Below are 16601 nucleotides of genomic sequence, written 5' to 3'. Positions count from 1 at the left end.
TCTTGCTGCTGCTCACTCTTTGGCTCCGTGCCACCTTTAAGAGCTGTAACACTCACCGCAAAGGTCCGCGGCTTCATTCTTGAAGTCAGTGAGACCAAGAACCCACTGGAAGGAACCAACTCCGGACACAACTGGAGTCAGGAGTTTAAGACCAGCCTGGCCAACATGATGAAACCCCATCTCTACTAAAAATACAAAAATTAGCCAGACGTGGTGACGTACACCTGTAATCCCAGCTACTCAGGAGACTGAGGCATGAGAATCGCTTTAACCAGAAAGGCGGAGGTTGCAATGAGCTGAGATTGAGCCACTGCACTCCAGCCTGGGTGACAGAGTGAGACTCTGTCTTAAAAAAATAAAAATAAGTTCTTCATTCCCAGTTCCTAGCACAGAGTTTCTAAAACCTTTGGAATCTCCTGGGCAATAGGAATGAGAAGAGTGTCTCTTGTTCATTATTATAGCCCATTTTCAATCATACTTGAGTTTAGGCAAATGTGATGACTCTTGGTGGGCCCCTAGAGAGCTTCAGGATGAGGGCTGGTGGTTGCCAGGGGAACCAACCACGAAATTTGAGGAATGAACTTTCAGCCCCTGCCCCATTTCTGGGGAGGGAAGAAGGGATGGAGATTGAACTAATCACCAATGACCAGTGATGTAGTCAACCATGACTATGTAATGGAAACGCCATAAAACCTCTAAGTTAAAGAGTTCAAAGAGCTTCTGGATTGGTGAACACACAAAGGTGCTAGGAGGGTGGGCATCTAGAGAGGGCAATGCCCTTCCTCTATACCTTGTCCTGTGCATGTCTTCCATTTGGCTGTTCCTGGGTTGTAACTTCTATAACAAACCAGTAATAGGAAGTAAAGTGACTTCGTGAGTTCTGTGAGCCTTTATAGAGAATTACTGAACCCAAAGAGTGGGGCTCATAGAAACTCAAGATTTATCATCTCTTGGTCAGAAGTATAGGAGACCTGGACTTACAACTGGCATCTAAAGTGGAGAAGAGTCTTGTGGGTCTAAGCCCATAATCTGTGGGGTCTGTGCTAACTCTGGGTAGTGTCAGAGTCGAAGAATTGGTTGTTGGTGTGGAAAAAATCCAGCCATTTGTGTCAGAAGTGTTGTGAGTAGAAACAGATCACAGACCCACCCAATGTGCAAGGGCCAGAATGGCTTAGGTCTAAAGGAAAACATTCTAGAAGAGCTGTTAGACTTAGGTGACACAATTTTTTATAACTGCCTATTTCAATACTATTAAGAGATAACCTTCTGCAATTTGGTGGTGCTTGTTTATAATTTGATAGGCAGAACTCAAAGAAATTCAAAAACTGAATTAAGGTGACTAAGTGAAAATTTTAAAGGGCAGGAAAACACAACCTCTGGAATCAAGACTAGGAATTTTGGCAACTAAGTTATCAAAATATTCTCACCATTTATAAATTCTAGCAGACTTTCTCTAACAATACAACAATAAAGAGAAACGAAAATATAGCAGTCCTAACACACATATAGTAGAAAGAGAAAAAAAGATAGGTGTACCCTCAAAAAGTCCCTTTTCCAATGCAGGTTTCTTGCTACTTTAGAGCAAATATTTCATGTGGTCCAAGGCATGAGTCCACATCTGGCAAAAAAGAGTACACAGTCTAGACTGTGGCTCCTTAAAGGAAAAATGCGTGTCTAAGTTATTTGTAAATTTCCAATGACCTACACAGTGCCTGGTGCAAAGAAAACAATAAATGGTTGATTAATAAAGACAGGCCTGTTGTGAACCAAGTCCTTAGATTTTAAAAAGGAAGAACTATCAATAAAGATATTTGGGATTTATTTACAAATTCATATCAAACATGAAATCTAATTCAAACAATAGGAGGTATAAGTTTTTTTTAGTTTTTTGTAGAGTTCATTATCTGGAAATTTTGTAATTCCTGTAATTTTCCATTTACCTTCCCAACCCAACAAAATCTCTTTCTATTTCCTTGACGGCAAGGGTCAGCAAACCACTCCAGAGAGCCAAATCTGACCCACTGTCTATTGCTTTAAATAAAGTTTTAATGCAAAATAACCACCTCCATCAGTTTGTATACTTTCTATGGCTGCTTTCACACTACCATGGCAGAACTGAGTATCTACAACAGAGAATCGGCCTGCAAGCCTAAAATATTTGCTATCTGGCCCTTTAGAGTAAAAGTTTGGTGACTTCTGCTTTAGAGTATCATATAATACTAAATACCCAATAAAATACTGTGTTTTTAAAATAACGTCGGAGATTTACTAAGCTAAAGTTATTTACAAGATAATTAAATATGCTATTCACTTTTGGTCCATATGGCTTTATTTACATCCTCACAATTAAAATCTCCCAAAGACACAGCTTTAGAAGAATAGAAGCCTAATGATAAAGAAAATCCTTTCTTGCCACCTAATTTATGCCATGATCTACTATGCCTTTGAGAGTCCTTAAAGAGCAGAATAAATTCCATGGAGGTAAGAAAAGGAAAGAAAAAAAGTGCATAAAGAAGTTCAAAAGAAATGTAAGGCTATACAAAGTAGAACCAGGGTACAGGGTCACACATACAACATCTTGATCACTTCACATATTGAGTAAATGTGGTATTTAACAAAATGAGTTACAAGTAATGTTAAAGAAAAAGAAATGGCAGAAAAAGCAAGTGAGCCTTTTGGTTTACTTAACCAGGCTAAAAGGCTATTCACAGAAAAGTGCCCTTTTGGAAATATAGCAATCCCGGCCCCTGAGGAGACTCAAGGAAGGCAATGTGAAGAGATCAAAGGCATTTCACCCTGACCTGTACCCATTTCACCAGAAGGTTCATTCCATCCACCTTTTAGTGATCAGAAAGAAGCAAAGCCCTGGAGCCACCTCAAGACACACAGCCTGACTACCTCTGCTCAATGCAAAAAGCTCTCTGGCCAGCTGAGAGGTCTCACCATCCTCTGAAAGAATCTTGTTTTTTCCTACCAAACCCAAACCCCTCCTTCTTCCATCTATCCAAATTCTACACATCCTTCATGGTCACATTCAAAATTCCAAGCAGTGCAACTGTACTACTCCAGAGGGACCCATTCTCAAAGATGATGTAAATGGTGTTCCCTGGCATTGTACAACACAGTGGCCCCAATCCCAACTCCTCAAGAAAGTCTCTCCCAACACATCACAGCAGGCTGACATCCCCCTTTCTTTCCTCAATATGTATCTTATGGCCCTACTGGACTGTAAGCTCCTAGAAGATAGGACAATATATACCTCTTTAATACAAAGCTAATAATGGCATGAACACCAAATAGCACCTACTGAGTCAAACTTTGTGCTAAATGCTTTGTATGCATTATCTTATTTAAGTCTCAAAATAATCTTATGGGTATGTGTGACCACCATTATTTTAGTTTTACAGATGAGAAAACCGAGATTTAAAGTTTTAAATTTGCTGTGGTCCATACAACCAGAAAATGACTGAGCCAGGAGTCTGACCAAGGTCTGTCTGGTTCCAAGAATAGTGTCCCTAAATTGTACACTAACTCTCACCCCAAAGGTACCCAATAACACCTGTTTTTTTTTTTTTAATCCCCAAGAGAGTGGATTGGAGGCACTGTGAGCATGCCTCTACCACTTGGAAAGACAAAATAGTGTGGAGAGATTCACACTGTGAATTTTTTTTTCAGGAAAAAACCCAGAAACTTACTACGAGGCAGATGGAAAACTCTAAGTCCCTAGAGTGTGAGAGGAGGATAAACTACCTCTAGGATATGCACTCCTACTGGGGAACCTGGCAATCCAGGCCACAAGGGAAGCCCTCAACCCTACCCAGCACTAAAGCTGATTCAGTGAGCCGTGGGGAGTATATGAGAAGGAGTAGCACTGGACATGCTTTCAGTGCACTCCCAGTCTCCAGCAAGGACAGAGGGAAGCCACTGCTGATCCTACCTCACAGGGGACCTTGTGGAAGTCAGCCAGCTAACTCAGACAGCAATCACAGGTTGAGAGAAGCTCAACTGAGATTCACGATATGAGTGGGAACAAGCTCCCTTGGCCAGAACTGAGGGGCAAGTGGGAAGTGTGCTGCAGCCATAAGAGAGCACAGGGGTGCCCCTGCTGTGTAGGGAGACCAAGAGAAATGTGGCCTGAAGGCCATGCAAAGGCTAATGGCCTGGGGCAGTTTTGAGTTCTGAGTGTCAACTGTCTGAAACCCAGCTAGCTGCTGCTAGTGGTACACTGTGGCTATGAGATTTGCCTTGCCAAGTGCATGAAAGCTGCGTAGGGCTTGCTGCTACCTGCTACTCCCCATTCTCCATGCAGACTCTTTGGTGCAGCAGAAGCAGCTGTGCTTTTTCCTTCAATATACCCCAGCAGTCAGAAAACTGCCTTCTGATCCCCACTGGGACCTCTACTTTTGCCCACATATGGAGAGCTAGAGCACAGACTTGCCTGACCCAGCCCTCACCTGGCTTTGCCCCTCAATCCTACCCTGGTAGCTTAATAAAAAGAACAGAAACTTTTCGGAGCTCTATAGCCCCACCAATTGCCTGAGACACCAGAGTACTTCCCCTGGGTACATAAGGCAAAGCATAAATCCTACCACCACCACAGCTGGTACTCTTTTGCAAGCACCACCTTCTGGTTGGAGGCCAACTGACATAGGAGATTAGCATCTTCAGGCAGAAGAAGACAACATGCAGGAAGGAGAAAAGTCATGTGTGACCTCAGCAATCACTATTGCCTGCAACACCCTGGCTAACCAAGAGATCCTGAGTCTGTCCATGTGACCAGTTCATCTACTACTACAACCAGTACTTGAGAAAACCAACACACTAAGGCTTTTCATGACCAAGGAATCTCACAGCACTCCCCTGCCATCCCCATCAGAACTGGTGCTGGTACCCACTGCTGGGATACTTGAGGACAGGTCACATCACTGGATTCCTTGGAGACATCCCCCAGCACCACCCTGGAGTGTGGCAGCCCCACTAGGCAGCTAGACCCAGATAAGAGTTGCATTCACAGTAGTCTGGACTTCAGGGATTTCTACTCCTAAGGGAAGAAGAAGTACATGACATCAAGGGAGCACTCCATGAAACAAAAAACACAAGATGGCAGGCCTTAAGTCCCAGAACTTCCCATTTCTGGGAAGTTTCTTTTAGCAGAGGCACAGTTGCAATGCTTGGCTCAGCAGAAAACGTCTGTGGCTCTACCCCAACAGCCAGTCAGCCCTGGTGCCCATGAAGGGTCTTGGAGAAGGTGATTTCTTCTCCTCTTCATCCACTATCGACATAGCTGAGGCTTCCCCCATGGGAGCTCAGCATGGATGCACCTGTAGACAGCCTTTCTGGAATACTTCAGGGTAACTGCATCCACAGAGAATGCATGTCCCCTAGGTTCAAGCTTGGATGAGGGGTACAGTCACAATCCCTTTCTATGTTGAACATCAACATTCCTGCAGATGAAAAGAGGTGCCTGATCAGAATAGCTGGAACTCTGGGTCAGGAGTGTAATTGGAAGGTGGATCACTTTCCTGCTGGCCTAGCAGGGAAGCTGAGGTGGCTTCTTCCCTTTCCCTTGAAAAGACCTCAGTGCATTTCACTGAGAGCTGCCCCAGCTGCTTCTATCAAGGCTGGGACCTCTGCCCACCACTGAGTATTGCATTTACCAACCTGCTTTAGCCACAACTGATTTTTACCCATGGACATCTCTCCTACTGGCCTGAAGCCTAAGCTGTTCAACTCAGTAAATAAAATACTGCAGAAAAAAATTAATTAATTAAAAAGTGCAATGAGATAAGCTTTAAGAGACCTCGCAATTCCAATCCCACAGGAGACAATGAACCTGCTCACAAACCAAGCACTATGCTACTACAACCAGCATCTAAGAAAGCTGTCATACAAAGACTCTCTATAACCAAGGAAGTCATACACAGTCTTCATCCCTGAAAGCACCAAGAGCTGAATTAGCCTACAATAAACGATAAAGTCACATCCTCAAGGGAGAAAAAAAATTTTTAAGTCAAATCAAAAATAAATTCAAGAATAATTAGAATAGCCTACCCAAATTAGAGGGAACTAGAAAAATAATTCTGGCAGCCAGATACGGTGGCTCATGCCTATAATCCCAGCACTTTGGGAGGCTGAGGCAGACAGATCACCTGAGGTAGGAAGTTCGAGATCAGCCTGGCCAACATGGTGAAACCCCATCTCTATTAAAAATACAAAAATTAGCTGGGCATGGTGGTGGGCACCGTAAGCCCAGCTACTCGCAAGGCTGAGGCAGCAGAATCCCTTGAACCCAGGAGGCAGAGGTTGCAGTGAGCCAAGATCGTGCCATTGCACTCCAGCCTGGGTGACAAGAACAAAACTCCATCTCAAAAAATAATAATAATAATTCTGGCAATATGACAAAACGGGGTTCTATAACAACCCCAAAAGATCACACTAGCTCTTCTGCAATGGATCCAAACCAAGATGAAATCTTTGAAATACCAGATAAAGAATTCAAAAGGTGGACTATTAAAGCTGTTCAAGGAAATACAAGACAGAGGTAAAAATCAGCATAAAGAAATTGAAAAAACAATTCACAGTATGAACAAAAAATTTTCTAAAGAGACAGATATTCTGAAGAAAAACCAATCCGAACTTCTGGAAATTAAAGATACACTTAGGAAATTGCAAAATATAGTAGAAAGTTTTAACGCTAGACTAGAACAAGTAGAAAAAAGAATTTCAGAGCTTGAAGATAAGCCTTTCAAATTAACCCAGACAAAAATAAAGAAGAATTAAAAGAAATGAACAAAGTCTCCAAGAAATATGAGATTATGTAAAACAGTCAAGCCTTAGAATCAATGGTGTTACTGAAGGAGAAGAGAAAGCAAAAAATTTGGGAAACTTATTTGAGAAAATAGGTGAGAAAAATTTCCCTGGCCTTGCTGGAGATTTAGGTAACCAAATGCAAGAAGCATAAATAATTCCTGGGAGATTCACTGCAAAAAGGACACCATCAAGGCATACAGTCATCAGGCTATCTAAAGTAAACATGAAGGAAAGAATTCTAAGAGTAGTGAGACAAAAGTATCAGGTAACCTACAGGGGAAAACATACCAGACTAACAGCAGACTTCTCCGCAGAAACCTTACAAGCCAGAAGGGATTGGAGTCCTATCTTTAGCCTCTTCAAACAGAATAACTGTCAGCCAATCATTTTTTATCCAGCAAGACTAAGTGTTACAAATGAAGGAGTCTTTTTCAGAGAAGCAAATGCTGAGGGAATGTGTCACTACCAGACCAACCCTACAAGAAATACTAAAAGGAGTTATTAATCTTGAATCAAAAGGTTGATATGCACCAGAATAGAACCTCTAGAAAGCATAAAACTTATAGGACTTATCAACAATAATACAATGAAGAAAACTAAGTACCTATGTAACAATCAACATAACTGAACAGTACCTTGCATCTTGAGATTAAATACTCCATTTAAAAGATATACTTTGGCAGAATGGATAAAAAGTTACAAATCGAATATCTGCTGTCTTCAAGAGAATCACCTAACATGAAAGGATTCTTATAGACTCCAGGTAAAGTGGTGGAAAAAGATATTCCATGTAAATGAGAACCAAAAGTGAGCAGGAAAAGCTATGCCTACATCAGATAAAACAGACTTTAAAACAACAACAGTAAAAAAAGACAAAAAATGCCATTATATAATAATAAAAGGATCAATCGAACAAGATGATATTACAATCCTAGATATACATGCACCTAAGTCTTGAACTCCAGATTCATAAAACAATTACTACACGACCTAAGAAAAGAAATAGCAACACAATAATAGTGCAGACTTCAATACTCCTCTAACAGCACCACACAGATCATCAAGGAAGAAAGTCAACTAAGAAACATCAACCTTAAACTATACTCTAGAACAAATGGACCTAATATAGTCACAGAATATCCCACCCAAGAACTGCAAAATATACGTTCTTCTCATCAGAACATGGACCATTCTCCAAGACACATCATATGATAGGCCACAAAACAAGCCTTGATAAATTTTAAAAAATCAAAATCATACCAAGTATCTTCTCAGACCACAGTGGAATAAAACTAGAAATCATCTCCAAAAGGAATTCCCAAAACTATACAAATACATAGAAATTAACCTACTCCTGTATGACTTTTAGGTGAACAATGAAATCAAGATGGATATTAAGAAATATTTCAAAATGAATAATAGTGATACACATCATCAAAACCTCTGGGATACAGCAAGAGCAGTGCTATGAGTTAAGTTTATAGCACTAAATGCCTACATCAAAAAGTATGAAAGATCACAAACTTACAATCTAACATCATACCTCAAGGAGCTAGAGAAACAAGAACAAACCAAACCCAAAGCTAGCAGAATGAAAGAAATAACAAAGACCTTTTCATTAGAGCAGAACTAAATGAAACTGAAACAAACAAACAAAAAATACATCAAGGAAACGAAAGCTTGGTTTTTTGAAAAGATAAACAAAATCGATAGATGATTAGCTAGATTAACCAGGAAAAGATTCAAGTAAGCTCAATTAGAAATGAAAATGGAGGCCGGGCACAGTGGCTCAGGCCTGTAATCCCAGCATTTGGGAGGCTGAGGCAGACGGATCACGAGGTCAGGAGATCGAGACCATTCTGGCCAACATGGTGAAACCCCACGTCTACTAAAAATACAAAAAAATTAGCCAGGCATAGTGGCGCATGCCTGTAATCCCAGCTACTCGGAAGGCTGAGGCAGGAGAATCGCTTGAACCAGGGAGGTGGAGGTTGCAGTGAGCCATGATCGCACCACTGCACTTCAGCCTGGTGATAAAGCGAGACTCTGTCAAAAAAAAAAAAAAGAGAGAGAGAGAGATGAAAATTGAGACATTATAACCAAAAGAAATACAAAAGATCATTCAAGACTGCTATGAACACCTCCATGCAAACAAACTAGAAAATCTACAGGAAATGGACAAATTCCTGGAAACATACAATCTTCCTAGCTTGAATCAGGAAGAAATAGAAATCCTGAACAGACCAAAAAAAAAAAAAAAAAGCCGAAGGCCAGATAGATTCACAGCTGAATTGTACCAGACATTCAAAGAAAAATTGGTACCAATCTGCTGAAACTATTCCAAAAGGTTGAGAAAGAGGGCATCCTCTATAACTTATTCTATGACACCAATATCACCCTGATACCAAAACCAGGAAAGGATATAACAGAAAAAAAAAAGACAAAGAAAACTACAGAACAATACCCTTGAATCAACAAAGATGTAAAAATCCTCAACAAAATACTAGCAAACTGAATCCAACAGCACATCAAAAAGATAATTCACCATGATCAAGTGGGTTTCATCCAGGATGTAGGGATGATTTAACAAATGCAAGTCAATAAATGTGAAACATCATATAAACAGAATTTTTTAAAAACACAAAAATCTATTGATCATCTTAATAGATGCAGAAAAAGCATTCGATAAAATCCAGCATCCCTTTATGATAAAAATTCTCAACAAACTAGGGATAGAAGGAATATAGTTCAAAATAATAAAAGCCATGTATGACAGACTCACAGCCAACATCATACTGAAGGGGAAAAGTTGAAACCATTGCCCTTCAGAACTGGAACAAGACAAGGATGCCCACTTTCACTACTTCTATTCAACATAGCACCAGGAGCCCTAGTCAGAGCAATCAGGCAAGAGAGAAAAATAAAGGGTATCCAAATTGGAAAAGAGTAAATTACACTATCTCTGTTTGCCAGTGGTATGATTATATACCTAGAAAACCCTAAAGACTCCTCCAAAAGACTCCTAGATTTGATAAATGAACTCAGTGAAGTCTCAGGTTACAAAATCAATGTACACAAATCAGTAGTACTGCCATACACCAACAACAATCAAATTCAGAATCAAATCAAGAACTCAATCCCTTTTATAATAACAGCAAAAATAAAATAAATTACCTAGAAATATACTTAACAAGGAGGTGAAAAATCTCTTCAAGAACGACAAAACACTGCTGAAGGAAATCAAAGATAATACAAACAAATGGAAAAAATATCCCATCCTCATGAATTGGAAGAATCAATTTCATGAAAATGGCCATACTACCCAAAGCAATCTAGAGATTCAATGCAACTTCTATCAAAATACTAACATCATTTTTCACAGAATTAGAAAAAAAAATTCATATGGAACCAAAAAGAACCTGAATAGCCAAAACAATCCTAAGCAAAAAGAACAAACATGAAGGCATCACATTACCTAACTTCAAATTATACTACAAGGTTATAGTTACCAAAACAGCACGGTATAGGTATAAAAGTAGATACATAGACCAATGTAACAGAACAGAGAACACAGTAATAAAACCAAATACTTACAACCACAATTGATCTTTGACAAAGTATACAAAAACATAAATTGGAGAAAGGACACCATATTCAACAAATGGTGCTGAAAAAACTGGATAGCCACATGTATAAGAATGAAACTGGATCCCTATCTCTCACCATATACAAAAATCAACTCAAGATGGATCAAAGACTTACATCTAAGAGCTGAAACCAATTACAGTAGACAACCTAGGAAAAACTTCTGGACATTGGTCTAGGTAAAGAATTTATGACTAAGACCCCAAAAGCAAATGCAAGAAAAACAAAAATAAATAAATAGAACCTAATTAAACTAAAAAGCTTCTGCACAGCAAATCACCATCAGAGTAAACAGATGACCCACAGAGTAGGAGAAAATATTTGCAAACTATGCATCCTACAAAGAACTAATACCCACAATCTACAAGTAACTCAAATAAATTAGCAAGAAAACAAACCAAATAATCCCATCAAAAAGTGGGCAAATGACATGAATAGACATTTCTCAAAAGAAGATATACAAATGGCCAACAAATATACAAAACAATGTTCAACATCACTGATCATCAGGGAAATGCAAATTAAAACCACAACAAGATACCACCTTACCCCAGCCAGAATGGCCATTACTAAAAAGGTAAAATACAATAGATGTTGGCATGGATGTGGTAAAAAGAGAACACTTACTTATACACTGCTGGTGGGAATGTAAATTAGTACAACCTCTATGGAAAACAGCATGAAGATTCCTTAAAGAACTGAAAGTAAAGATACCATTCCATCCAGCAATCTCACTACTGGGCAACTACTAAAAGGAAAAGAGGTAATTCTATCAAAAAGACACGTGCACACATCACAGCACCATTCACAATTGCAAAGATACAGAACCAACCTAAGTGCCCATCAACTGATGAATGGATAAAGAAAATGTGGTCTATATACACTATGGAATACTACTCAGACATAAAACAGAATGAAATATCTTTCACAGCAATTTGGATGGAGCTGGAGGCCATTATTCTACGTGAAGTAACTCAGGAATGGAAAACCAAATACCGTATGTTCTCACTTATAAGTGGGAGCTAAACTATGGGTACACAAAAGCATACAGAGTCATTTAGCGAACTTTGGTGACTCAGAAGAGGGGAGGGGAGGAGAGAGATGAGGGATAAAAAAAAGCTACATATTGGGTACAATATACACAGATGATGGGTGCACTAAAATCGCAGACTTCACCACTATACAATTTGTCCGTGTAACCAAAAACCATTTGTACCTCAAAAGCTATTGAAATTTTACATATATATATATCAACTAAAAAAAAAATATGTTTAGTGAATGAAACTCCTGGTTCAACCTACAGTTGGTCCTTTAGACTTTCCACTTCCTAAGTGAGAATAGCTCTCAGGGTGGAAGAGCTACGAGGCAGACAAACCCCATAGTGCTACTCTATCATCCCACACAAATGCAGGGGCTGTATGACTCCGTCGGGGCAGTACAAAAGACAAAATATTCCTGTCCTTTGCTCTTAAGAGCAAGCACATCATGGCAGACAGTTTACAATTATTTTCCACGTCTTCTTTACTAGCCAGGCCATTCATGTCTTTATATTTGACAACTGGCTACACACCCTCAAAAATAAACACAGTGATGGAAAGGTTGCTCTGTTCCCTGCTAATACATGTGTAATAAAGCTACTCTTGCAGATGCTTGGCGCTGTGGTCAAAAGGAGCACCTTCCCCCGCCTACCCCCATAAAGATGAAGGTCTTGAATAAAATAGAAGCCACACAGAGTCCAGTTCTGAAATGAAAATATCACACTCATAAAAGCATTAAGAAGGTTCCCTATTGAGCTGGTTTCAAATGTTTAATTACTGTAATTATATGCATACATACTTTATCACTGTTTTCTAATGAGGTTGGCAAGGAGACAGAAACTTGGCATTTTATTCCTAGTTTAATGCGCTTGTTTTTATGCTTACTGTAACAGCTTGCTAGAAGAGCACTGGAGATAGAGTCGGATACGCTTTAAAGGACAAGGGAAAACAGCTCCCAGTGGATGGTACACACATGGCAAAAGGCCAAGAGTAGAAGCACCGTCATTAGGAAAAGGAATCAGCCAAGGTAAGCAACGTCATTCACAAACAGAAAAACCTGGACTGCAACCTACCTACCTTCTCTCCTCACTTCAAATAAGACTTTGAGCTTTAAAAACAAAGAGCGTGGCTGGAAGGGGGAGCCACAGCTGCTTAATCTGAAAGCACCTTTCAGTTTCTTCACAAAAGTTTCCAAGTCAAGGGGAAAATTCAACACCCAAACACACAAAGCAAGCTCCAGAGGCAAATGTGGGCACTTCTGAGAGCAGCAGTACTCCAGGGTTGGTTCCTAGCCTACGAGAGTTCTGGTGAAAGAGGCTACTGTGAACCAAAGGCCCAGCCTTCCTGCAGGGGAGGAAAGTCAGCAGTTTACTTGGGAATTTGCCACCTCGATACATAGCAAGTGAGGAAGTGGTGAGAGGTGGCAGATGGAAAGGGGTAAGGGGGGCGAGGGGCACAAGCTAGATCCAGACAGCTGTGGTGTTATAAAAATGTAGCAGCCAAGCAATGTGGAAACGGGAGTCTTAAGCATCTGATTAACTGAGAAGCAGCTGTGGTAATTTCTGGACTAGCTTTAAAAAAAAAAAAAAAAAACAAAATACAGCATTGCATTCAACTGTTAAGCTGACTGCAAGAGCGATCAATGGGTTGAGAATTAAACTAAAGCTCGAGACACTGAGCCTTGCTCTAATGGTGTCGATGGCACAGGGCCATGCTACGGGGTAAAACCAGGTTATGATGAGTTCCCCGTCTGGGACTTCCAAGAAGCGTTCCCTAGAACAGGATCCAAGACAGATCCACCCAATATTTAAATCCAGTCTTTAACAAAGGCCCTGTATAGACACCAGACTAACTAATTTGAGCCTAAAAGGAGACTCCTAAAAGTTCAGATAAACTTAGTTACTTACACTCCTCTATTACAGCAGAAATAGACATGTGATCTAATCATGTAAGGGGTTTTAAATTCAGCCAAAATAACTGGCAAATTTTCCTTGCTAAAATGGCAAAAACGAACCCTCCTAACAGAATTGCTCCACTGTAATTATTTACAGTAAATCAATAAGTACATCATTCTATATAACATACTGATCAATACAACACATTTTGACCAATTAAAGATTTTACTCAAAAAACATGAGTCTGGGACAAGGAAGAATATACATACATGAGGCCATTTATCACATTAAAATATATAAAGCAAGAGTGTAGACATGTAAAATCTCATTAATTCCACATCTAAATATTTCAACCATTTCTGAAAGGTAGACAAGAGGACTCCAGAGTAAAGAGTACAGGACTTAACCATTTTAGTAGAGATTTTAGGGTGATTCACAGAACTGCCAATCAGGTGGGTCTTATGTTATTGGTTATATCATAATCATCTGGGGTTCTATGAGATTCCTGAGTAATGTCTGTTTTGTCTCCCTAAATTGAATGTATGTCTTTGGTTTCATTTGAAAACATTGATCTGTATGTAGCTGGTGCTTATCAGGAGGTGTTAGCTGTCTGTTCAATGTGCTCTAAGAGTGATGTACTGGGCTAATTTAACTCAAATAGCTTTATAATTCTGTCACAACCTCTCTGCAGCCGCCTACTTTTCCTAGGGCAGGGAAATGGAAATCATTTTAAGAAACGGAAAAAGTGTGGTTTAAGTAATTCAGCTTAGCTTATTTCCCTTGGGAAAAGGACAGTTAACAACTACTCTCAGAAACTAAGTAAGTCGTGTCTGACCTCTATTAGTTATTTAAATTTAGCCATACCTTTAACTAATAAAGAGAAGGTGTCCTAGTCAACTCCAGTAAGGATCAGGGTTCTCTGCTTCTGGCATACCAACTGATTTGAACTCTGAATTTCTCTCAGAGTTGTGCTCAGAATTTTACTGATAGTTCAGCTGACGTGGAAAGGTCTGAATGCAGCCGGGTGCGGTGGCTCACGCCTGTAATCCCAACACTTTGGGAGGTCAAGGCAGGCAGATCACTTGAGGTCAGGAGTTTGTGACCAGCCTGGCCAACATGGGGAAACCTCATTTCTACTAAAAATGCAAAAATCAGCCGGGTATGGTGGCATGTGCCTGTAAATCCCAGCTATTCGGGAGACTGAGGCAGGAAAATCATTTGAACCTGGGAGGCAGAAGCTGCAGTGAGCCGAGATCATGCCACTGCACTCCAGCCTAGGCGACAGACCGAGGCTCCGTCGGGGTTTGGGGGAGAGTCTGAATGCAGCACAGGAGAGGTGGTCTGTAGATAATGAAGCCAAGTGTGGGCTGTTTGGAAGTCAAGTGTTCACACATGGGAACCTGTCTCAAAATATGAATTACTTCCTTACTGCATTAATATTCTCCCTCCTTAACTCTTCCCTCTCCAAGTCTTACCCTCCTTACCTTCCTCTTCAAGCCTTAACAGGACTGAGTACCAGCAAGGGCACACACAGCCACATCACACACAGCTGAGTGTTCTGGGGGCACTGGTGATGTTGGTTTGCTAGCTCTCCCCTAGGAGGTCCTTCCAGACACAGCAGCAACCCCCACACTTCCTGCTCCTCAATGGCAGCCACCCTCCAAACCACTCCCAAACCCCAAATCAGCCCCAAGGAGACCAGGTCTTCACCCCACTCAGCAGCTTACATCCCACTTGACCAAACTGTCAATGACAACATTGCTTTGTTTGTTTTTTAACCAGCATCTATAGGGATACCCTCAGAATTCTTAGCACTAACAAAAAGAGCTCCAAATAGAGAAATTGAAACCAAAAGTTTACATCACAGATCCCCCTTCCACCAAAAAAGTAAATGTTATGCAGCACTAAACCACACCCCCCACATCAAAACTGCAGCACAAGCTTTCCGAACATTTGAGAGAAACCAATTTTCACAGTAGCAGCCAACATGTGAAAATACTTTTATTGCAAAATTGAAGAGTATAGTTCAGCAAATGCATACTGGAATGCTACTATGAGTAACTGCACAGGTGGTTATGCAAACACTGAACTCATGCTTCAATTTGGCAGAAGTATAAACATTTCTAGAATAGTACACAAGGTTCAGTTACCTAGATCTGCTAGTTAACTTCCTTTACCTCTGAAAGAGCTCCCCCAAAGTCAATCATTTTCCAAAAGAAAAGTCATAGTTAGAAATACATTTTAAGTAGGCAAGAAAAGAACACACTTATATTAAACTGACACAACCATTTTTAAATGAGCATCTTACCAGGGGCCAACCTGTACAGACATGATTATTCTCTTGTGTCCTGTAAGAGGGTGCTGTTACTTAACTTAATTCATACAAATCTTTAATCTTGAAAACTTTCATTTACTTGTATAATGTATAATGAGATCTAGTATGTGCCAGGCACTATTCTAAAAGGTTGGATATACAGCAGTGAGCAAAATAGGCAAAAATCCCTGCCTTCAGGAGGTTTACATTCTAGGAAAGAGAAAACAATGCATAGATACATAACGAAGACATAGGGGCATGTTCAAAGCTGATCAAAGTGTGATGGAGAAAAGTAAAGCAGAATGGGGTGAGGGTGAGGTGTTACAATTTTAAATGTCAGGCACAGACACAGAAAAAAGGTAACATTGTACAGAGATTTGAAGAAGGTGAGGAAGTGCCCCAAACTGCATGGAAATCTTAGGAAAGTTTTCCAGGCAGAGGGAATAGCTAGTTCAAAGACACTGAAAGGCCATGTATGGTGGCTCATGCCTGTAATCCCAGCACTTTGAGAGGCCAAGATGGAAGGACTGCTTGAGGCTAGGAGTTTAAGATCAGCCTGGGCAACACAGTGAGAGCACATCTCTACAATTTTTTTTTTTTTTAATTAGCCAGGCATGGTAGTACACACTTGTAATCCTAGCTATTTGGGAGGCTGAAATGGGAGGTTGTGAACCCAGTTCGAGGTTCCAGGGAGCTGTGATAGTGCCACTGTACTCCAGCCTGAGCAACAGAGCAAGACACTGTCTCTAAATACATAATACATACATACGTAAATGGACACTGAAAGAAGAGAATGTCTAGGCGGTTCAATGATCAACAAAAATCTACACATTTTGCTGTTTCCTAATCTTCTTAAATACTACATCCCACATACATTTCAAAAGTACAGCTTTCAAAAGG

The 16601-nt window shown here is 40.3% G+C and overlaps 1 protein-coding gene and 1 long non-coding RNA gene across 22 annotated transcripts in view; one reads left to right on the top strand and one right to left on the bottom strand.

Moving 5' to 3' along the window:
- Positions 1-16601, bottom strand: part of CARMIL1 (capping protein regulator and myosin 1 linker 1) — a 341157-nt gene that overhangs the window by 238066 nt on the left and 86490 nt on the right. The gene's annotated exons all lie outside the window — the stretch shown is intronic.
- Positions 1-16601, top strand: part of LOC124901281 (uncharacterized) — a 124485-nt gene that overhangs the window by 69726 nt on the left and 38158 nt on the right. The window contains exon 2 of one of the 2 annotated variants that reach the window (XR_007059512.1): positions 12386-12519. This is a non-coding gene — a long non-coding RNA (uncharacterized LOC124901281). Of the gene's footprint in view, positions 1-12385; positions 13101-16601 lie in introns of those variants that run through there. The other variant, XR_007059511.1, reaches the window with a different exon arrangement.

This window comes from Homo sapiens, chromosome 6, assembly GCF_000001405.40.
Source record: "Homo sapiens chromosome 6, GRCh38.p14 Primary Assembly".
NCBI lineage: Eukaryota > Metazoa > Chordata > Mammalia > Primates > Hominidae > Homo > Homo sapiens.
Note: the sequence above shows the minus strand (reverse complement) of the source record. Positions and strands in the feature narration are given on the sequence as shown.